The sequence below is a fragment of the Homo sapiens genome, chromosome 7 (assembly GCF_000001405.40).
Source record: "Homo sapiens chromosome 7, GRCh38.p14 Primary Assembly".
In the NCBI taxonomy this organism is placed as follows: Eukaryota; Metazoa; Chordata; class Mammalia; order Primates; family Hominidae; genus Homo; species Homo sapiens.
Genome location: NC_000007.14, coordinates 7921769 through 7946527, shown reverse-complemented (window position 1 = coordinate 7946527; position 24759 = coordinate 7921769). Strand labels below are relative to the sequence as shown.

Sequence of the window (24759 nt, the reverse complement as noted above, 5' to 3'; positions counted from 1 at the left end):
GGCATTAACTAAATACACCACAACAAAGCCTTCCCAGATAAAATATAGATGAACTATCCCTGTCTCCACATGCACACCTAACACCTGTTAACATAGCAATTGTGCACCCCAAGTAAGAGAGTTAAAGATAACTGATTAGATGATTCCATTGTCCTGGGTAGGAAGATACCTGGTAGCTGAAAAGCTCCGCTCTATTTTCTGTTAGCAGAGATTCTACTACCATTATCTTCTTGTTTTGCAGCGACGGAGACAAAGAAGATTTTCCTGAGCAGTGTCAGTAACAAAGAAATGAAGCAAATTATTAAGAAACTGATGGGCATTCATTGAAGAGCAACAAATATGATTCATAAGTCTGAAGGGACAGCCTTCAGAGAGAAGATGAAAGAGACAAGTCTCTCAGCATGACCATGTGGCTCTAACGGGACTGGCTCATGGGCAACAAGTACTTGAAGGGTGTAAATAGTGGGGACAGAGAGAAATTATTTAGTGTGCAAGGGGACAGCAGGAGGAGTGATGGTAAATGAAAGTCAAAACAAAGATGATTTAGGCAGCTGAACGAGTCACAGGCCCTAATGGAGAGATCTATTATAGGCTGTACAGCCTTGGGAAGGGTGGAAACCCCATCACTTGTGCCATTTACAGTTGGAAAAGCCATTAAAAAGTAGATCAGCCTGTTGGAGAGGGAAAAAACACCGCAGGTCCTCAGAGAATCAGTGGGATGACTTAATAGGTCTTTTCCATCTCAAATTACTGTGATGTAGTTTGTACGCATGGGGACCTGAGGTTCTAGAATAATTTTTCCAGCATTTGGGCTTCTTTACTATTACTACAAGGCCTCAGTGAAGAAATGATAACGGGTCATGGAATGCAGTTTCTGCATTGTAAGTGGAAGCCCACAGTGTACTGATGCTTTAGTATGAAGGCAGGACTGACTATGGTAAGTTTCACATTGTGATGTCAGTGTAAATAAATAAAAACACAATACCAATTAAGTCCCAAAACAACATACATATATTGACTGAGACCAAAGGCAGAGGGAAAGGACCTTTGTCACAGTTAGATGGTGGCTGAATAAATGAAAATTCAAGTAGTTTATTCTCTCATCTAGAAAAATACATGTCTAAATACTTAAAAGTCTATCTTTACAAAAAAAAAATAAGAAAAAAAATGGCCTTAAAACTATCAAGAAATATTTACTGTGTAGGAACTTTAGGACCCACATTTTGAATGTGTGCTGTATTTCTGTGCACAGCTGCAGTTGTAATTAGCAACTGACACATTCCGAAACCATGGTGGCCCAGAGGAGCACATATGTGCACAGGCTGTGCCAACCTGGGGCAATAACTGCAACTGAAAGGAACGGGCACAGCTTGGTCAGATGGAAACTGGGGCAGGCAGAGAAGGGCTGGTGTTACTGTGATTACTAGAAGGAGCACAGCTGTGACCATCTCAACCCTTCTCAGCCAGAGGATGACACGGAAGCAGGGGACAAAAATGGTAAGAGGGTGACAGGAGGGAGAGGCAGCAAGAAAGAAAGCAAAAGAATCCAGAGAGGGAAACCCACAGATGCAAGCTCTTTGCAGGTGGAGTATATCACAGATCCTGATAAAAATATTGTATGTGGTTGAGCACAAGTGAAACTTGGCGTTCTAGAAGACTGAAGTTTGCAACAAAAATTCAGGGTTTGACCTACACCTGACAGATATAGGTCAACCCTCATCCTGCTGCTCTCAGCAGCTGTAGCCAATAGGAGACAGTGCTGCCCAGCATGCCGGTTTAAGCTGCTGCTAATAGAGGGAAATCAACGTAACCCCATATTTCCTGCCTCTGCAGTCCTCACTTGTCTATACATGGCCAACTCAGGCGCAGGCAGAGCTGCTGGCTTGCTGTAACTGCTGGATGACTGATAAGTGGAATCTGGTGCTAGCATATATATTCCCACCTCATCTAGCTAAAAAATCTTTTGTAAAGCCTTTTAAGGGAGGACCATTAAAATTCAATTTTCCCTCATTAACCTAAATGCTTTCTTAAATTCATATAACCAGAAGAGACGTACTAATTCTTCACACCAACAGAACTTTAGAGATGTTTAGAGAGAGGAAATTCCGTGACAGAGGCCTATTTTTGAAAGGATACAGCAAAGGTTAAGTGACTTATCCCATGTTACTTAGAGGTGATAGTTAAGGCAGAAAGCGAACTGAGGGAGTGGTCTGAGATAAGTGAGGAAATTATGAAATTAAATCTGAAGAAAGAACATCATCACCAAATCACATTGGGTTAAATATCTATTGGAAATCCCAATTCAGTAACACACATTCCTTTATCCTACATGTTCAGACTAGTGTTAAAAGTGACTTCAGATATTTCCTATGCTCATGTTTTTTAAAAAAAAGTCCAACCATTCTCCTCAATGAACATGACATTAAATCAAGCTAAGTCCAGTCACATGGTCTCAACTTTACTCACTAAAGCTAGCAGGCAAGGGCCTAGTGAGTTGAATTAGAGGTTTAATTAGAAGAACAAGCAATAAATGCTAAATGTTCTGTTGCAACTGTGTAACTTTCTGTGGGATTTTATGCCTTGTATCTTTTTTCCTGAATTCCAGACCAACGGGGCTGCACTAGAACCCCAGAAGCAGAGAATTCCATAACTCAGACTCTTTGATTCAGATATTTTTCTTTTCATCACCTTGAGAGAGCAAATAAATCCCCCAAACTACTTTTCCCACCTCTCAAGCTTCTAGAGGATATTCTTGACTGGAATTTGTCCATGTTCTTAAATAACAGGTTACTTCACGTTCTTTGTGTTTAAATAAATGTAATTAGGCCTGTTTTTAAAAACTATGGAAAATATTAAAAAGAAAATTAAAATCATCTATAAACTTACCACTTAGTGGCAGCCACATGAACATTTTTGTGTTTCCTTATTTCTACACATATGTATACTTTCCAAAATTTGTCATAAATGTTTTAAAGGTGCTTCATATATTGCCAAATTGCCCTCCAGAAAAGTTAAATCAATTTATAATCCATTTTCAGTGAATGGTGTAATTTTAAAAGCCAGCTTTAAATTTGAGTTGAAAAATGATGCCTCACAGCTGTCTTTATTTTCTTCTATCTCCCTCAATCCTAAAGTTGACCATTTCTTTCCTATGGTTATGGCCAATTACAGTGGACATCGTGTTTCACTCCTCAACAACAATGTAGTTTCTGGAATTGACCCCAGCTCTCGGAATGAGTCCTGATTACTATTGAACCAAGCATAGTAATCCAATCTCTTTGGCTAGTGAAAGGTTCAAAATCAAAACATAGCATTCCTGTGACAAGAGATTTAATCCAGGTTGGTCCTAATCTGAGTCAATAAGGCTGAGAAGAAGCACTTGTATTTTGTTGCTAGAAAAGAGATTCTACGGCCTGGTGTGGTGGTTCACACCTGTAATCCCAGCACTTTGGGAGGCCGAGGTGGGTGGATCATTTGAGGTCAGGAGTTTGAGACCAGCCTGCCTCTACCAAAAACACAAAAATTAGCCGAGTGTGGTCGCGGGTGCCTGTAGTTCCAGCTACTCGGGAGGCTGAGGCAGGAGAATCGCTTGAACCCAGGAGGTAGAGGTTGCAGTGAGCCAAGAAAAAAAAAAAAAAAAAGAGAGAGAGAGAGGTTCCACTTCTCCTCTGATGAATGTGAACAGGAAAGCGTATTGTCCCCACGTGCTGCTGGGTGTTATCTTGTGAACCTCAGAGAAGTCAACCTGACTTTCTGGTTACATGCAAAAATATATTATTTCCTTAGTGTTTAGGTTAGTTTGATTTGGGCTTCCAATTTTTACAGTGAGAAGCTGTCAGAACCCTTTCTCTTTATGGGATTTTTGGAGTTTTTTATTTGGTTTTTGCCAATTCCTATTAGGCATTATCAGTGTTTTTATTGTTGATGTGGTAAGAACTCTATTGAGGGTGTAATCTTGTTGTCTATTTATTATGACTATGTCTCCAAGTTTATCACTTGTTCATTATTTGCTATGTAGTCTTATTTAATTCAGAGAAGAATATAGTCTTAATGTAATTAAATATACCAGTATTTTTCTTTGTGATATATTCCATTGCTTTTACTGTTATTCATTCACTAATAGGTGTGTGTGTGTGTGTGTGTCTGTGCGTAGCAACCACAGGGTTCCAGGCTATAATACACAAGCGAGCCAAAAAAGATACAGTCCCTGTCTTATATCCTAGTTTATATCCTAGTGGGGGGACCGAGGGTAAGGCAAACATTAAACTGAAAAGCCACCCAAATAAGTGTGAGCTGCCAGTGGACAGATCCTACAAAGAGAAGGTACACAATATATGAGAGCTCTAATAGGAAAATTAGGACTAACTAAGGAAATCAGGGGAAGCTTCCCTGGGGAAACGGTGATTGAACTATGAATGATGAAAAGGAGTCAGGTAGCTGGGTAAGGGCATTACAGGTAGTAGGAACTATAGGTGCAAAGGTCCTGCTCAGGAACAAGCACAGGAAATAAGAGGGATAAAAGAAAGTAAACGCCACCGGATCCTGAGAGGGTCTTGGTATAAGATGAAGCTGGAAAGGCTGAGAGGTTGGGGGATGGAGCTGGGAGAAGCTGACTATGCAGGGTTAATAAGTCCGTGTTAAAGAGTGCTGCCTCCTTCCTAAAATCCATGGTGTCATCTTTGACAACCATATTACCTTTACCCCCAACATCCAATTCTATCAAACCCCCAAATCCTATTACTTTTGCTTTCTACATATCTCTTTAATCTATCCACTTTAATCTGTCCATTTCTCTTCATATTTACCAACACTGCTTTAGTCCATTCTATCATCATTTCTGCTTGCACTAATGGAACAGCCTCCTCATTGATCTATTTGCTCCTACTCTTGCCCCAGTTTAATCCATTCCATGGTAATGAGAATTCAATCCTGACATTGATAGCATTTGATGACATAAGATAACATTAGAAGATCTAATGTGCAACAGGAGGGCTCCATGAAATAATATTGTATTGTACTTGAGATTTTCCCTAAAAGAGTAGATTTCAGGTGCCACACACAAAAAACAAGTAATTATGTGAGATAATGGATGTGAATTTGCTTGACTATAGTAACCTTTTTACTTTCTATATGTATATCGAAACATCATGTTGTACACCTTAAATATATACAGTAAAATTTTTAAAATAAGAAATGCAAGAAAATAAACTTGTTAACAAAAAAGAAGGAAAACACTGACAAAGAACCAGTTTGGATTTTTGTTAGTTTGTTTTTTGAGAGGAGAGGGTATGCAGCGGGCAGTTTATGAGCTCAATTGTGGACCCGTTGAGTTTGAAATGCTCTTGGGATGTCCTGGAGAAGAAGCCAGGTAGGAGGTGAATGCTAGGTGGATATCTTCTGCTTTCCCACATAGAGCCACTCTCCACCCTTCTCTATTCTGCTGTATCCAGAGAGACTGACCTGTATGAAATGAATCAACATCCCATGTAACCTTAGCACCTGGTTCCCGTGTTCTCTGTCTTCTAGTTAGGTTCAGCCAATGGGAGGTAGAAGCAGAAGACTGAAGGCAGAGCGTGGAGGCTGATTATTTATTCCATATTATCTCCATACTGCATTCTCTCTTCCCCTTCCTTCTCCTGCCCCTCTTCCCCACCTTTTCCTACTTGTACCACTCCTTTGCCACCTCCTCCTCTCTCTCACTCTCATTCAGTAATCATTTCCACCTGCTTCCTTGTTTAGGCCTAAAGCAGTAATGTTCCCTGAGATACTGTACCATTATCCTTTGTTGCCTTCCCTAAACCCTCTGTAAATGATCTCTTAACTAAAGTCTTCTTAATTACCCATTTTGAATGTGCCATACATTTCCTGCATGGATCCTGACTAATACTGAAAAGTTGGAAATGGTTAGGCTGGAGTTTGAGAGTCACCTGACAGGAGGTGGTAACTACAGCCATAGGCATGATGAGAATCCTTGGAAGACAGTGGAGAGAAGGGATGGGCCCAGAGAAACTCAAACATATAATGGTCCCCAGAGGAGGATAATCCTGCAAAGTCACTGGAGAAGTAGTGGCCAAACTGGTAAGAGAAAAATTAGGGAAGTGTTATGAAAGCCAAAGGAAGCAAAGGGAATAAAAAAAGCGTTTGCAGTCAAGACTATCAACTGGTGCTGCAGTCATTGGATTTAGTGACTTAAATGACATCCGGAATCTGTTACATATTTTCTGTGTTCCCTTGTAGTTTATAATGCTTTTAATTTTTTATATTTCTTTAACTTATCTAGAATTTATTTCAGAATACAGTTTAAGGTGAAAATTTATCCTTCTTTAGCCATTATTCCAACATCATTTACTAAATAATTCATCACTTTCTCTGTTACAATTACTTCATCATATACTGTTTTTAAAAGTACAAAGAGATGCCTAAGCACTTTCTATTCGATGTTTAAGAGCTTCCTATTTAACTATCATTGTGGAAAGGGTTGTCACTTTCATACATTTCAATATCGTTTTGAGCAAGTCTAACTTCTTATTTCTTAATTTTCAGAATTATATTATTAATAGTCTATTTATTCTTCCAGATGAGCCTTAGAAACATTTTATCAATTAAAAAAATCCACTGGGATTTTGTTTGGGATTGTTTTAATCCTACAAATTAAATTGGGAAGAGTTTAACTTCATTATATTTAGCCAGAAACTTCACACACACACACACACACACACACACACACACACACATCTACTTATCATCAAGTCTTTTTTTAGCTCTAAGAAGAGAATAAGAAGCATATTTTGTGAAGGTCATTTCCAAATATTTTATATTTACATTCTTCTGTCTGATTTTTCTTAGACATTCTTTGTTATTCTTTCTCTGACATGGTTTTGATATAACAGTAATAATGTCTGTGGTGGAAAACTAGGAGAAATTAAGAAAATAAATTAAATAAATCCTAACATCAACTCCCAGATCCCAACATTGTTAACTTTCCGTTGTACCTACTAAACACTTTTTTTTTTTCCTGAGACAGAGTCTCAGTCTGTTGCCCAGGCTGCAGTGCAGTGGCACAATCATAGTTAACTGCAGCCTTGACCTCCCAGCCTCAAGCAATCCTCCCACCTCGACCTCCCAAGATGCTGGGATTATAGGCGTCACTTTTAATACTCTTATCTATGTGTATTTTTACATGTTCCTTATACAAATGAGATACAATGTTGTTCTATAATCTTCTTCTTTCACCTGCTCTACCAGGAATATCCTTCCTATCAGTACGTACATTTCTAACACATCATCTGTCATTGCTGCATGCTCTTCCATTGTATAGACGCACCTTAATTTATTTAAACAGTCTCTTATGTGACCTTTGCTGTTTCCCAATTTCCAGCGTGAAATAATGCTGTGATAAACCTCTCTTACCTCCTCAACCCCAAAGATCTTTGGAATTTTATTTTTATTAAATATTAAATATATACAAAAATATTTATAAAATGAATGTTTAAGTGTTTTTAAAAACTATACAGTGATCACTTTTGTAGCCACTATCCTAAGAAACACCACATCTAATCCTCTATGCGTCCCTCTCCAATCTCATCCTTCTTTGCTCATCATTCCCTTTATTTTGTTTGTATTTTACCACATGCATATTTTTCCATGAAAGGGCCATATATGCCAAGTGGCCCCCAAATGCCAAAGGAGCCGAGAAACCAAAGAAGGAGGCAAATAAATCCAGCTTGTCAGTATTGGCTGATTTATTAAGAGAACTTACAAACAGAAGCGTGGTCTTGGGTGGCCACAAGACAAGCAGATCTTCGCATTGTTAATCCTCAGAACCACAGCTTTATACCACAGGGAAAAGGTATACGTGCTCCAGCAAGACAATGAAAGGCAACCCTCCAGAACAGGTGAGAATGCTATGTGCGTCACAGCCTATAATTTGTGCGATAACATCAAGGTTGCTTTGATCTAAAAGTAGGAGTACATGTTTTTACACTAAGGACAGTAACTAAAACAGAAATCAGGAGGCATTCATGGGACTGGGGCTAATCAGAAGTCAACATGGTTGATTAGCATCCAAGATGGAGTCACTTTTGTCTCCATACGCACATATGCCTGAACATATATAATATGTGATTTTGCATGGTTTCAAACTATATAAATTGAAATTTTACTGCATAGATCGTTCGGTGACTTGCTTTTTCCACTCAATGTATTCCTGAGATGCATCCATGTTGTTGCCCATAGCTACAGTGTATCCATTTTTACTGTTATATAGTATTCAATTATATGAATATACCATATTTTAAATCTATTCTCCTGTTAATGAATAGATTTTGCTATTACAAGTAATGCTACTATGAACATCCTTGTACCTGTATCACAGTACATTGCGTATAAGAATTTCTCTTGGCCAAATATCAAAAGCGAAATTACTGGATCAAAGGCATGCACATTTTCAACCTTTTAGATAATGGCAAATTTTCTTCCAAAATGGTTGAAAAAATTTACAGTCTCATTAACAGTGTATAAGAACTCAGTGGTTCCACATCTTTTCTCATTCTTGTTATTTGACATTTTAAAACTTTTGTCAAACTAATGGGATTGAAATAATATGCCATTGTGGTTTTAATTTGCATTTCCCTGATTACAAATGAAGTTGAGCATATTTTCGTATGTTTGTTCACCATTTGTGTTTTCTCTTCAGTGACAGGCCCATTTAAATCCTTTTCCCATTTAAAATAAATTAGGCTGTATTTTTTTTATGGGCTTACAGTTTTTATGTAGTCTGGATGCTAATTCTTTGACACAAAGGTATAGCAAATCCCCTCTCCCAGTTTGTGGCTCATCTTTTTCTCTCTTTAGGTATCTCTTTATGTACAGAAGATCTTAACTTTAATGTGGTTGACTTTAATAATTTCCTTTACTATCTGCGCTTTTCAATTTAGCTTCAGAAACCCTTCCCTTCCTTTAATTGAAAAGGGCATTCTCTTATATTATCCTTCAAAAGTTTTAAAGCTCTACCTAAAGTTAAGTCTTTAATCCATCTAGAATAGATTTTTTGGCATGTGGTGTGAGATAGGGGTTCAAATTGAGTTTTCCTATAGGAATAACCAGTTGTTTCAGCATCACCTATTTAAAGCCTATGCTTTCCCAGCTGATTTTCAGCTCTGATCAGCCAGCTCTGATACATTTGACAAGCAACCTGCCAAGTTCCACTATCCACTCTTCAACCCGTCCTCCTTCAAAAAAAAAAAAAAAAAAACCTCGAAAAGAAAAACAAAACAAAACAAAACCAAAAACCCCACTTTGTTGGGATTTGAGTGTAATTGAATTAAATATATGGGCCAATTACAACAAAAGTGAAAACTTTACAATATTGAATCTTCCTATCCATAAACATAGTATTTCTTTCTACTTATTTAAACGTCCTTTAATTTCTGTCAATAATTTTATGATTTTTTTGTGTACAGATCTTATACATATTTTGTTAAATTTATCCCTAGGTATTTAATATGTTTATAGTATTGTAAATGTTACCTGTTTTTATTTGTGGCTATAAATAAATTCATTTTTAAATTATTAACATTATAAGTAGCAATTTTGCTAAAAAGGCTTAATTCTAATTTGTATGCAGATTCTTTTGTATTTTCTATGCAAAAAAAATCATCATCTGCGAATGATGACTATGTAACTTTTCTGCCTATCTAATCCTTACAAATTGTATATAAATTTTGTATCATCTTTCTAGTACCTGACTAAAGTTTTTTGTGGGTGATATTCAGAAGCTTATTATTTGTATTGGGTATCATTCACGGTGCTTTTGTTTCTTGACTGTGGATTCATATTTCTATGGGAATTCTTTGAAGCCTAGATTGAAGGGAGTTCATTTAAAGAGGATTTGCATTTGTTTCTGCCAGATGCCCATGGGTACTACTGAAGGAGGGCCACTTTAAACTAAATTCTCAGCTTGAAGTTTTTCCAGACCACCCAGGTAGTAAAACTCAGGCAGCAAAACTCACACATAAGGGTTGGCTTGTACTTATAAACTTTCGGGGAGATTTTCCTTCTTGTTTACCCAGTGCCAAGTTTTAAGATAAGCAAATTTTCTTGTTGTCTGCTGTGGGGGCAATTTTGTTTCTGGTATACCCTTTCGAGCTTTATGTAGGATGTTGTCTTTTAGACTACCTTCTTTGGGCTGGACCTAGGCTTTGTGACCTATTGTCCACATCTCACAAGGCTGTGAAAACTGGAGCTCAAGATCCCCTGGATCTGTCAAAACTGCTCAGTACAGAAGCCAGCATTAGAGCCTCTGTCATCTTGCTAGGGCCTTGCTTTGAGTTGTTTTGGCCTTACTTTATTACCAGTTCATTGATGCATTTTAAAACATATTTCTATATTTTATTCATTGTTTTTAATTATTCTCAATAGGAGGGTTGGTAAGAGTATCCAGTTTGCCAATGGTCTTCCATCCACCCCACTTCAGCTACCCATTCTCATACCCTAGAACTTTTCATTTCCAAGATCTGTTTCACCTCCTAAATTTCAAATATCTACCCTATGGCCAACATCTCCTGTCCTTGAGTTCCTTTAATTTATCAGTTCTATGTTAAGAGTTATTCAACCCCATTAGGACTGCCAACCCATTCATCCTCATATGTTCATGTTCACTGTCCACCTTCTCAAATTCATCTTAAAATTATTATTATTATTATTATTATTTGAGACAGGGTCTTGCTCTGTCACCCAGGTTGGAGTGCAGTGGCACAGTTACAGCTCACTGCAGCCTCAACTTCCTGGGCTCAAGTGATCCTCCTGCCTGTAGCCTCATGAGTAGCTGAGACTATAGATGTGCACCACCACACCTGGCTAAGTTTTTTATTTTTTGTAGAGATGAGGTCTCACTATGTTTCCCAAGCTGGTCTCGAACTTCTGAGCACAAGTGATTCTCCCACCTCCCAAAGTGCTGGGATTACAAACCTGAGCCACCACGCCTAAACTTAAATTCATTTTTATCCAGATTAGAATCTATGCAGGGTAACTGTGTTGCAAAATGCAATGTGCCTTCTGCAATTGTGCCATGCTGTGGTACTGATCCTGTGTTCCATCATCATAATCACTCCCTTGCACACACCTTCCATGTCCTTATTCCTTTCCCCTTCTAATATTTAATCTGGCAACAACTACTGATTAAACCTACATCTACCCACCTACTCTGTACCTAGTTCTGGAAGGTAACAAGCAACTATGCTGACTGATTTCCTTCGAAATGTATGTGGCTTCAGTATGCTCAGCAATCCTACTCTATTTCTCTATCAGTTCATTCTACCACCTTTCAAAGCAACTGATTCACACCTTCCTCTCTGCAAATCCCTAGCCTTCCCCGAGCGACTCCTTTCTCAATTGGTGGATTCCCTTCTATTCTACTGGGGACAATAGAATCCAACAGTGGAGAGCTTTCTCATTCACCCACCACCAAATCCACTAAACTCCTTGAATCTGTAGTACTGTATATTCTTAGCTTTCCTTCTTGTAACTTTGATGAACTGTCAAAAAAGTGACAAATGCAAAAGTGAAAAACGCTTGAGTGCATGGATCCCACTTTTCCCCTCTACCTATCATTATATATAACTCCCTGTCATTCTGTTTGTCTTTTTGGTCTGAGAATGAGCACATGCTGTCAGATTTTTTTTTTCTTAAAAAACAAAACAGGAGACTTCTGCTTCTGGGAAGATGTAATAGACATACTTTCCCCTATTCCTCCAGCTAAATCAAATGAAAACCTCTTGGCATTACATATAAAAGAAATATTGAAACATTGAAAGGTGGAGAGAAGAAGGCAGACCAGATGGGGGATTTGGAACCTGAGGAACAACATAGTAATAGTTCTCTGTGCTTTTTGTTTGTTTGCCTCATATATCCCAGGCTTTGAGCTGAATAAGCTGGTAAGCCACAATAAGCCACAAACACCAACAGGCAGAAACCAAAAAAAAAAAAAAAAAAAAAAGCCTCAACAAAAGCAAGATCTGTCAAGCCAAAGAACCAGGAAAGGGTCAGCCTAGTAAAACAGAAAACTTTTAGACAATAACCACTCCTAAAATGACAAAAAAAAAAAAAAACTGTGGCCCTATTCCCATCTATGCTAAACAAGTCCTACTAGGAAGCCTAGACTGTAACCCTCTGCTAGGCTACATTGAGGTCCTCCCAACATGCTGTCCAAGGTGCTGTGAAAGAATGCTGAGTAGGGAGCACCAGGCAGTAATGACACACACTTTCCTCCACCATCCCCCTCCCCAGTACCAGTAGAGACCACATAGGGAGTTTGGACTTCCACTCCCACCCCTAACTGGGGTGCCATTAGAGGAGGCCTGGTGGAGCTTCAGGGTTTTCACCATGACCCAGTGGAAATGAGGCCACCTCTTCACCCTGGTATCAGTGGAGGCCTCATGTAGAGGAGTTATGAGGCACTTCTACCCCTCCCTGCCAGGAGGGTATCTGTGGAGGCCCAGTGGGAAGAGGAATTCCCGCCCTGCCCAGCAGTAATGGGGAGCTGTCAAAGAGCATGGACTTTGCCTGCCTGGGTCATCTTGGCAACCTTAGTGCCTGGACACTGCCTGGCATATGATAGGGGCTAGTTGCACAGTGTTGCTCCAATCACTCATTCCTTCTGTACATCAATTTCCTCCTCAGAGGAAAATGAGAATGAACATAATAGTGTCTACCTATAGGTTGTTGTGTGGAGTAACTGAATTTATACGTGTAAAGCTCCAAGTGTCCAACACATGAAGTGTCAGCCATTGCTGCTGCTGGTGTTGTCATTTATTCATTCCTCACTGGTTTACATGCCACTTAAATCTAACTTGTGTCACATCCCATGACTTTTGTAGTGTCCTCATTCTTATTTTCTATATATTCTGTAACTGCAATCATATTTCCCTCTTTATGCCCAAGAGATATGGAGAAGTATATTTTTTTATTTTCAAGTGGGTGGGAAATTTTTGTTGAAATGTTTTGTTCTGATTTGTACTTTTATTTGTAGTTTTATTATTCTGTGGTCAGAGAATATGTCTGTGCACTTCATATTTTAAGAGATTTATTGATGTTTTCTTTATAGTCTAGTATATAAGCTATTTAAAAAAATAATTTCTTCAATTAAAATAATTTCTCCCTTTTTCCTCATTGTGAAGGCTTTTATGCTAGGGATATATCTTATAAACATACTTTCCAACACACCAAACTAGACAGTTAAATGAAATAAAAGCTTCAATCATGTTGAGTTAAAATGCTTTATTCCTATTCAATTTGCAGTAAGCACAGATTGCGAAGTTCCCCAGAGGGAGAGAAATGGGAGTAGGTACACTCAGCCTGCAGGTATGATTTGTTATTGTTCTTCTGCCTCTTTTCTCCCTCTAGTTTTCTTCTTGCAAAGAATTCTTTTAATTCCTAATTGTAGCAAATTGTAATTTCCAAAAGTAGTCACAGCAATATTTCTGGTCTCACATGCTCTTCGAGGATCTTGCTACTTCCCATCAAGAAGTGGCGTCTATCCCCTTGTACTAGGGTGGACCTTTATGATTGCCTCAACAAAAAAGGAATAGAGTGGAAGTCATGCTGTGTGACTTCCAAGATGGGTCAACTAGCAGACATGTGAATGAGCCTTCAAATAATCCCAGCCCTCAGCCTTGGAGCGAAGACCAGGGCCAAGCCAGCGCTACAGTGCCCTGTGCGAAATCTGTAATGCACAGACTCAGTGAGCATACTAAATGGTTGTGTTACATCATTGAGTTATGGGGTAATTTATGACTCAGCTACAGTAGCCAGGTCACTAAGGACACCAACTTATCAGAAGATTTCATGTAGAAGGAGGGTGTTATAATGAGAAAACATTAGACTAGGACCTGAGAGACTTGGGTTGTAACTGGATTAGCTCATAACTGGCTATGGGTCCTTGACTAAATCATGTAACCTTTCTGGGTCTTGATATCCACATCTGTCAAAGAAGGTATCTGAACTTTTTAGTCTTCTTCAACTTCTACCATTAAATATCTCAATATAGAATATTTAATATTGTAAATGTTCTTAAATTGGAAATATTCTGTTTCTTAAGATGCTGAATACCTATTTTTCATCAATGCTAGTCTTGATTTTACAGGGCAATCTTATTTCTGTCGTTTCCACATTATTGGAAATAATTTTCCAAAATATTGGTAGTAGAGAATAGAATCATTTTTATCAGCCCAAATTTAGCTCAAAATAAGTTAGAAAGCTGGGTAGGCATTTGATGGAGAACAGAGGGTTCCCCAGTCTCAGTTCATGGTAATACATTAACCACTACTCTGATTTTTACATTGTTCAGTGATTTCTGCCCACTATTTTGGGTGTTCTTTGTTAGTTACCATGTAACAAGCTGCCAGAATAAGTTTACTGAGATTTTACCGTCTCTGTCTAGATCTAGCAGTTGGAGAATTTTAAGTATACTTTCCAAAGCTAAATCTGCTACAGGATAAGCAAGGCTGGTTTCTCATCAGTTGCAATTCTCTGAAAGTTGCATTGTTAGGAGGATTCAGCTATTATTCCACATACTGTATTCCAGAAGCAGCTACAGCAAGTGCTTAATACATGCTTTCCAACACACAATACTCCAAGGTCCCTAGAGTGGGATGACTTGGTACAGCTGCCCCAGGTCAATATTCAGGGGACCTAGCTGTTCTGGCAGCTTGTCAGTGACTCAAGGAGCACCAGCTGTTGCCTGTAACGTGCTTGTACCACCCTTGCCGACAACAGTCTTAACCTGCTTTCCCTTCCTGGACTCACCAGAATCAGTGAGTCTCTATTCCCTTTGTATCATAATGCTCCCCAACACAGAACAAAATTAGCAGGCTACTCTCTGATAGGAATTATGTGCTCCCTGAGAAGCAGTTCTTATTTCCTAAATCTGTTTATGATAGTTGTATTTTATTATAATAATGATGTGATTTCATTAAATATTATATAAATCAATAAAATGTGAAGGCAAAAGAGCTGTTTCTATGAAAACAAGTTGAAAGCATCACAAAGTGTGAGTAATACAGCTGCAAAAAGATTGTGGAAAAAAATCTAGAAGGATGCTGTGCTCAGATTTCTTCCCATTTCTCTATAAGCTCTCACTCTCCTTTAAAGAAATCCATACTTTAAATCTTAGTTAATATGTAGGAGTTGTGCTTTATTCAAGAGTGATGTTCTGTGATGTCCTGTGCTCAAAGAAAAGGCCTTGCTGGCCAGGTCTGGTTACTCAGGCCTGTAATTCCAGCACTTTGGGAGGCTGAAGCAAGAGAATCACTTAATCCCAGGAGTTTGAGGCCAGTCTGGGCAATATAATGAGCCTCATCTCTACAAAAAATTTTAAAAATTAGTCAGATGTGGTGGCATGTGCCTGTAGTCCCAGCTACTTGGGGGGCTAAGTGGGAGGGTCGCTTGAGCCCTGGAGGTCGAGGCTGCAGAGAACTATGATCACACCACTGCACTCCAGCCTGGGTGACAGAGCGAGACCCTGTCCCTGTCTCAATTAAAAAAAAAAAAAAAGAAAGAAAGAAAAGAAAAGGCCTTGCCCCTATGTCAAAGGATTGGAAAACTGATGACATATACATTTTTTTTTTTTCAGTTAAAATGTTTGTGGAAAATCGCATTTTTTGACTTGTTGCTTTAACCTACTTTTTAACAGACCAACTCCTGGTCCCACTCCTGAGGGATAAGTTGGCTTGGACTATACATAAATTTGGCTCATCTCTATTTGCTGTTTCACCGCAACAAATAAAGAGCTGCAGGGATGGCCCTTTCTTGCAGCCAAGCTACACACTGCCTCTTTGTGACTTTGTTTCCATATTGAGCTTACTCTTGACATGAGCTTTGACTTCATCTCCCCAACCCATTCCCCCATTCACCTCTCAAATTAATTCTAAAGGAATGTGATTTATTCCAGGTTCCACAAACCTCACTGGGATAGCTCCATATAAGCTCATTTACCTTGGGAATTCTCCGCTATCTACCCAAATCTAGGAAAGATCCTCTGCTTCTTGCTCCAAGCAATCATGTAGTACAGCACCTGGTACCTTTCCTTCCTTGATTCAAACAATATGTATTGGACACCTACCATGTGTCAGGCTCAGCACCAGGTACTGGGTATGTAGTGGTGACTACAATAGGCTAATTTCTATTGTCAACAACAGCTATAAGTGTATTATCGACAGAAGAGCAAAGTCTTTTTCTCTTTTTTGTTGATAAATTGGTAAACTGACTAGAGAGAATTTCCATCGCACTTTTGCCTTGGGAAACAAATTCTTTATTTGGTTTATGTGCTTATGCATGCATTTATATACATATGTACTTATTTGGGTTTCCTGGGGGAAATTAAATGGGCAAGGGCACGTAATATTTTAGCTTAATCCAGAGATTGGCGATCTTTTTTTTATAAAGAGCCAGAGAGTAAACATTTTTGTTTTGTGGGCCATAGGTCTCTATCACAACTATTAAACTATGCCCTTGTAGCACAAAAGCAGTCATAAACAATACATAATTGAATGAGGGTGGCTGTCTTCTAATTTTCCTTACAAAAATAGACAGGAGCTCTAGTTTGTACACCCCTAGAATCTATCGAAATACCTCAATGGCTCCCCCACTTGCAATTAAACTTGCTCAAGTCCCTCCCCTAAATAAAAATCAAAGAAGCCCACATCACCGCAAAAAGTTGTTTTGTACTCACCAGCTCTCTTTCTCCACTGCTCATTTACCTTCAACTCTAGATAGTCCGACCTCTGCGCTCACCACCTACTAAAATTGTCCTTATCAAGGTCACCGACGATCTCCATGTTGCTAAATCCCTCAGAGACTCCAGTCTTCTCTTTCTTACTCAATCTCTACACAGCTTTCAACACAGCCAGCCACTCACTCCTCCTTCTGGAAATACTCTCCACTCATCTTCTGAAACCTTTCAAGACTGATTTCCTTCCTTCAGCAGGAATACTTGTCAATCATCAAAGGCTCCTTCTCCTCTTCACAAACTACATGATGGAGTTGCTCAGGACTCTGTCCTGGGTTCTATTGCTTCTCTCCCTAGGGGACTTCATCTACTCTATAGCTTTAAATGATATCTTTATGCTGGAAACTCACAAATTTACTTTTTCAGCCCAGATCATTCCCCCATTTCCTTACTCATATATCCAATTGCCCACTTGATATTGCAAGTCTCTCAGATAGATGTCTTAAATGTAAAGTGCTGAGCAAATATGATTGAATAAATACATACATGAGTTTACCTGGTTTCCCAAGCAGAAACCAGAGCCTAATCATTAACTCCTCCCTTTGGCATTCTTTCGCATTACCAAAACGTAAGCCTTCTGTTTCCTAATCATCTCCTGGATATTTCCCTGGCTCTCTATACCTAATTCTTAGGCTGGTATAGCAGCATCTGTTGCTAAAATACTGAAATATGTCCATATTTGTTTTAAAGAACTGCTGGCCTAAGCTCCTGTTGTGCTGGCTCCACCTCTGGGGTCCACGTGCCCCATCCAGCCTGGTCTAGCAGACACCTGAAGACTCTGCTCTAGTGCTAAGGCTTGCATCCATTCTGATGGATCAATGTTTATGCCAAAATAGCTAAGTATTTTAATATTATCCCTGCCTAATACCACAGTGACTAAAATATTCTAGCACTAGGAAATTATCTTTCACCCAGATTCCTGGAAAAGCTATCTGATATAGTTTGGATGTTTGTCCCCCCCAAATCTCATGCTGAAATGTGATCTCCAATGTTGAAGGTGGGTGTAGTGAAAGGTGTTTGGGTCATGGGAGTAGATCCCTTATGAATGGCTTTATGCTGTCCTCACCATAACAGGTGAGTTCTCACTCTATGAGTTCACACGGGATTTGGCTGTTTAAAAGAGCCTAGCACCTCCTCCTTCTCTCTCTTGCTCCGTCTCTCACTATGTGATATGCCGGCTTCCCCCTTGCCTTCCACCATGATTGTAAGCTTCCTGTGGCTTCACAAGAAGCTGAACAGATGCTGGCACCATGCCTGTATAGCCTGCAGAACTGTGAGCCAAATAAACCTCGTTTCTTTATTAATTACCCAGTCTCAGGCATTCGTTTATAGCAATGAAACAGACAAATACACCATCCAACTTGTTTCCCTACCTCCTGACTTATTCATCTCCAGACTCTGCATAGCAGCCAGGGTGATTTGTCTAAAATGCAAATTGATGACATCTTTCCCCTATTTAAAATCTTTAAACATGCGTAACTCTCAAGATAAAGCCATAGCTCCTTAATAAGGTTCCCCAGACTTTCATGATCTGACTCCTTCTCATTCTTCAAATCTCACCTCCTCAGAGGTATCATCCTGATCCCATTTAAAGTAAGTTCTTGTTATTGTCTCTTAGCAACTTGTTTGTTTTCTTCATTGCATTCATTACAATTTGACATTATTATTGTGATTATTTTTATCTGTTTCCCCAACTAAACAATAAGCTCCCTGAGAGAAAATACCATGTCTATCTTGCACACTGATATTTCCCTAGCTCCTGAATATGGTTAAGTGAATAAATCTGGACCCCTGAATACTGTCTAGCTTCATCTCTTGCTATATTTTTTCTTGGGATTTATGGTTTAGCTATATGCAGTCAACATGTATTCAACAATTATTTGATAATGACTATTCTCGGTTCCCTAAACATTCCACATAGAATACTACCCTCTGCCTGGAATAATTCTGTTTAACCCTCATGCCCTTTCACATGGCAAACTCCTGCTTACCTTCAGGTATCAACACTGTCCTTGCACCTGGACGCCTTGCTTGTTCTTCCATGATAAAATCTTTATACTATAATTTAAATGTCTGTTTCTCTTTCTGCTTTTCTTACCAGATGGTAAGGCAATGGCAATTAAGTCACTACTATGTTTGTCATTTTTCATTGTTGCCTCTGAAGCATCTTGCTCAGTGCCTGACACTCAATAAATAGTATTTAGCAGACAAATTCAATCCTAAAGCAGACATCCCAAAGTTCCGAGAGGGGACCAGTGAACTCATATCCATTGGGGTGGCAAGATTTTTTTTATTTGTAAGTGGCTACAAAGAAAAAGGTGTTTTTGTTCTTGTTTTTTCCCCTAAGAATACATTTTCCTTTAGCTGTTTGCTTCTGCAATACGAAGTGACTCCACCTGCAACTTATTGTTTGGCTTTAAGGGCAGAAACTTGTTCATAAATTGCTAAATTTACTTATAGCCTAAGTGAAAAGTGCAAAGTGTAGATGACAAAAAAGATCTATGATGAGAATGGGTTTTGTAATGTCCCAAAAGGACACAACATGATAGCAAGATCCCTTCCTTAAAATAATTTTTTTAAAATGTATTCATTATGAATTCATGTAATTTAGTTAAAAACAGAACCTCTTTCCTGTACTCATTAATGGCAGTTTTATGGTTTCATTCTGCCGGGCACATAAATATGTTATAATATAAACAAGTCAATGGTGTAATGAATCATTTCAGTCTTATTGTGCATATGTTTTTACTACAAATCTTGGGGAAAAAAGCTATTCACGCTCTGCATTTTTAAATTATGCTAATGTGATTAGTCATTATGGTCCTACTTATTCTTTATGATGGATGCAAGATGTTTAAGCCTCGCATAGTACTTGTGAGGGGCCTGATTAATGCTTGAGACCCAATCAAGAAGCTGTTGATGAAGTTCAAATAACATATTAAAAAGTTATATACAACAGAAGAGTTGATTCTTGCTCATATAAGATTACATAAACTAATAAAATAAGTGTAAATTGTATTAATGTACATTTTTATTCTTCCACAAACATTTTAGCTGCTACCATAACCACGTAATGTATTTTGCCAGGATCTGTCCAGGCCACTGTTTTTGAAACGAAAGTGTAAAAATGACAGAGAAAGCTGCTATTAATGTTAAATATAAAAATGCACACACATCCACACCAGCAAACAAGTGTTTTCAAAACCTAGACTTCAAAACAGTTCACCCATTCTTGCATTTTGATGTTGTCATGATCAAGCAAAATGAAAAACAGAAAAGACATATTTTGGTTGGTTATTATGCTGCCATATCAGATTGTTCCCGTTATTGTCTTGCATAAATCCCAAGCTCAGAAGGAGAAGTGGCGAGCCAGAAGAAGAATATGGATATGTGTGTGAAAAGAGCAAAAGAACAATTTTAGAATTTTAAATGAGTCCAAAAATTGAAGACCTGATTAACAATCTGAGAAATAAATTTCAGGAGAAATAAATGTAATATATACTTTATATTCAGTGTTTTTAAAACTTTTTAAGAAGTAGAACCCAAAGAAATCTTATGAATAATCACAATCCATATACGATGGTGTGTAAGGCCGTTCTCGTGTTGAAATAAAGAAATACCGGAGGCGGGGTTATTTATAAAGAAAAGAGACGTAATTAGCTCATGATTCTGCAAACTGTACAGGAGGCATTGTGATGGCACCTGCCTGGCTTCTGAGGGGGGCCTCAGGGAGCTTTTACTCAAAGCAGAAGGCAAATTGGGAGCAGGCATGTCACATGGTGAAAGCAGGAGCAGAGAGGGAATGGGCCCAGAAAGAACACACTCACTACCACGCAGACAGCACCAAGCCATGAGGGATGTGCCCCCATGACCCAAACAGCTCCCACCAGGCCCCACCTCCAACATTGGGGATTATATTTCAACATGAGATTTGGGCAGCAACAAATATCCAAACTATTAATATATCAGATAGACTATGAGAAATAAATAAGAATATTTCATAAACATTTCATTAGTTTAAATTTATCATATTTATGCATATCAATGAATTGGAAAAGTAAGACTGTTTTGATATTTCTGTGATTTCTTACTAGTTGCATAGTATTGAGATTTTCTTGACAACAAAAATAAGCTGTTGGAAATGGTAAAAATATGAGTTTTTAAACAAGTTGCCTTGTAATATCAGGACACTATTCCATTTATAAGTAATGAGAGGGAACTTCATTTGTTCTGAGAGCCACATTCTAGGTTAGTCTGAGACGAGTTGGCATGTTGTTGGTCTCTATTGTAATAATATTCAGTACATGGCAGGCTTGAATGTGCCTGTTTTAAAAATAGCATTTTGTGGCCAGGTGCAGTGGCCCATGCCTATAATCCCAGCACTTTGGGAGACTGAGGTGGGCGGATCACCTGAGGTCAGGAGTTTGAGACCAGCCTGATCAACATGGAGAAACCCCATCTCTACTAAAAATACAAAATCAGCCAGGCGTGGTGTGGTGGTGCATGCCTGTAACTCCAGCTACTCAGGAGGCTGAGGTTGTGGTGAGCCGAGATCACACCATTGTACTCCAGCCTGGGTGGGCAACGAGAGCGAAACTCCATCTCAAAAAAACAAATAAATAAATCAATAAAAATAAATAGCATTTTTAATAGATAAAAAATTAGCAAAATTCCAATCAAATGTTTCTTGACCCATGATTCTCCTCAGGGACACAATAGGGTGGGGCAGGGTAAGAACACTGTTCTGGTTGGTTCTCTCCAAGCTGTAGTCTTCTCCACTACACAGGCAGGATTTTAACAACCTATCTGCTAGCCTTCCCTGCATGCCACCCCCCATACTGCCCTGCTGTAGACATAAATGATGTATTCCTTTTGCAGTGTTCTTTATTTCAGTTAGTGGTATCACAACCTTAGGAGCTGCAAACCCCTTCAACTTTTCCTTTTCCTCACTCCTAACATTTAATATCTCCCAAAGATCTACTCATATCATCTCCAAACTATCTATGGAATCTGATCTCTCATCTCCCCTTTGTCCCTGCTGCAACTGCCTCCTGACTGCTACCTGCAGACTTCAGCCTCATCCTATCCCTCCCTGCCAGAGCTTCTGTTCTGAGACACACATTTGATTGGATCATTCTCTTGTTTTAAAGCTGGTAACACTGTCTTGCACCTAACTGGTTAAAGTTAAACCCCTCAGCAACTACAAAAGGCCCTCAATAGCCTAACCCCACCAACCTCCAAACTCCTCTCCTGCTGACTCCTTCAACCCAGGCAACTCTGAACTTATCACACTGCATGCACCTTATCCTTTGCATCTGTCTTCTTTGTGCCTGAAGAACTACTCATCCTCCAGGACCCAACTCAAACACTACCCCTTTTTCAATGCATTTATTGATTTTCCCAGGCAAAGCAAGTTGTGATTCTTGAACTTCATTTGTATTACATATCCTTGTAGCATCTGCTCCAATGTTTTGACTGCAATCATCCTCTTGTATGTCTCTCTTTTCTCCCAAATACTATGAACTTTTAGAGTGCAGGTATTGTATCTCATCCATCTTTTTAATCCCAAGCATGTACCATCATGCTTGATATGTGCCTGAAACATGGTATACTTTCAGTGCATATTTTTCAACTCTTTATTACAGCATTTCATGTGGAGTTTGTTCTTGATTCTCAGAGTAATACACAAACAGAAACCACAATGGCATCCTGTAGGCTGCCTGTTGCAAAGAGCACACGGTAAATTGTCAGTTTCTTTCCTCCTTACTCTAATTTCTCCATTACATTGGGCATTTAAATCCTTTATCTTCCTCTGAGTTCATTAACATATTTCAGAATTGAATTTTGAAACATCTCTTCTTTATGGTGTTTTCTTTCCAAAATTTACTTATCCTGTCCCCTCTCAGGTTATATGAAACTTTCCTGGTGTTTAGAACCTCAAACGGAACTAATTTCTCTTCCTAATTTCAGGTCAGATTTTGGGGAATGTGCTCAGTTATCATGCTCCAAGATAGAGATTCCCTTTCATTGTTTTTTTCCTACTACATTCTATCCTTCCCCAAAGAGGTCGTATTGAAGTGATTTGCAAATCTTAGGTCCTCTGCCCCCATAGTCCTTGAACCCTGAAAATGCTAAAGTAAAGCTGGAATTTTAATTATTTTTGTGTATTAATGCTACATGCTACATTCAATAAAAATCAGGAGTAAATTTTTACTGAATCATGGGATAGATTCAATCAAAATCTATCCCATGATATTATTACTTCTTTACAAACTCAGTTACTTATTATTCCTGACCATTTGGATATTTTACAGATTTTATCATTTATTTGCTCCATGATTTTACTTGAAGAGAATTTAATAACACTTACTAGGATGATTGTCCTTCCTCATCCATTCAACCATTCCCACCCCTTTTCAAGGCATAACATTTCCTATTTCCAATCCTCCTCGGGTTTGTAAAAAAAAAAAAAAAAAAAAAAAATCGCTTGGCAATGGTTCACTAAGAATTGCAATTTAATCCTTTGGAATAACAGGCTTTTCATCTGTGCTCCCTGCAATGATCCGACGATCTGCCACACAATCAGTTCCTTAGAAAAGAACAATGCAACTCAAAAGAAAAGAAAGTGCTGGCAACATGGTAAAGAACATGAGGCCTGTTATAAAATTTGTAAATATAAATTAACCTTGGGAGTAAATGGCATCAAAATATGAATTATTGCTCCTTTTCAAAAGAAGAATTAGGACATTTTTGGCAGCAAATGCAAATGAACCTGAGTGTCTGTGCTTTTGATCCGGACTGTGTAAACACAGGCTCATAACTAGGTAGTTTCGTGTTTATATTGGTGGAGTCTCTAAAGTTATGCTTACCGACCCAGGAACAATGCAACACTCAAGAAAGAGCAAACACAACCTTAATTCTTACCTCCCATGGCCCTTGACCTAAGGAGTGTTTATCTAAGTTGTTTTGCATCTTGTATTTTAGGGAGCTGGTTATTATTAAAAAATACAGATACAGTCCTATATATCTAAAATGCTACACACACATTTATTTAAATGGGATTAGTCTGTTATAAAATATCCCCCTTTTAAGGCAATTATAGGCCATCAACAATCTGCATAGCAATTTATCACCTCGTTTTCAGTCATTATCACTGTTAGTCAACCATGTGTTCCACAGCCTAAACATCACTGAGAGTTCACTGGGATTAGTTAGGTGTTTTAAGAGTCATTATCATCACCATTATTACTACAAATCACACCATTTATTTAGCACCAACAATCTGCTGAAGAAAGCAGGTTGGCACAATTTACAGTGGATAAGAAATAGATGCCACCTACAAAAGGAACATGGGAGTGAGCTCCAGCAAGAATGAGTGAGGGAAGATGACTTAGCACCATCTTTAGGAAAGTGTGTGGGGATTAGATACTTTCATATCCGGAATGCGGTCTCCTGGAAAGACAAACACTTTGTAAAAATCCTTATGTTTCTCCAGTGGCCTGATCAATAGAGAACTAAGAGAAGTGACCAGAAGACATATTTAAAATGACAGAATTTAGAAAAACTGCTCATGTCTATGGTACAACATGACTTTTTTTCTGCAAAGCCAATTGAGACTATGGCTCTCTCAAGTCAGTCTGAGCCTAAAGTTGGTGTCTGAGTCCCCTTCTCTACCAGCACAGGCTATTATGTAACATCCAGAGGAGTGAGCCAACTAGTCAACCAAAGCAGGGTACAGAGAGGTTGGCAATCTGAACTCAGCCAACAGATTACCACATAATAAAAAGGATGCATTGCCTTCTGATCATTACAAGAAATTTAAGGCTCTACTCTGCCTCATTTGGAACCTACTAGAAGCCAACTCAAATACTCCTTTTTCTTTCTATAAAATGTAAACATTAAAAGTCAAGTGACTTTAACGTGATTATAAACTTTAACTTGGAAACTAAGTTTTTAAGGACAGAGCAGAGAAAGTT

General features: G+C 38.6%; 1 long non-coding RNA gene across 1 annotated transcript in view, besides 2 other annotated features; it reads left to right on the top strand.

The window, feature by feature from the left end:
* Positions 1265 to 1314: a silencer, noted in NCBI's record as "silent region_17965". NCBI's record gives its function as "represses an Ori minimal core promoter by ATAC-STARR-seq in GM12878 lymphoblastoid cells {active_cell/tissue: GM12878}" and the evidence as "EXISTENCE:reporter gene assay evidence [ECO:0000049][PMID:35858748]".
* Positions 1525 to 1734: an enhancer, noted in NCBI's record as "active region_25651". NCBI's record gives its function as "activates an Ori minimal core promoter by ATAC-STARR-seq in GM12878 lymphoblastoid cells {active_cell/tissue: GM12878}" and the evidence as "EXISTENCE:reporter gene assay evidence [ECO:0000049][PMID:35858748]".
* Positions 23307 to 24759, top strand: part of LOC124901586 (uncharacterized) — a 52554-nt gene continuing 51101 nt past the window's right edge. Inside the window, exon 1 of the long non-coding RNA XR_007060206.1 lies at positions 23307 to 23422. This is a non-coding gene — a long non-coding RNA (uncharacterized LOC124901586). The remainder of the gene's footprint in view (positions 23423 to 24759) is intronic.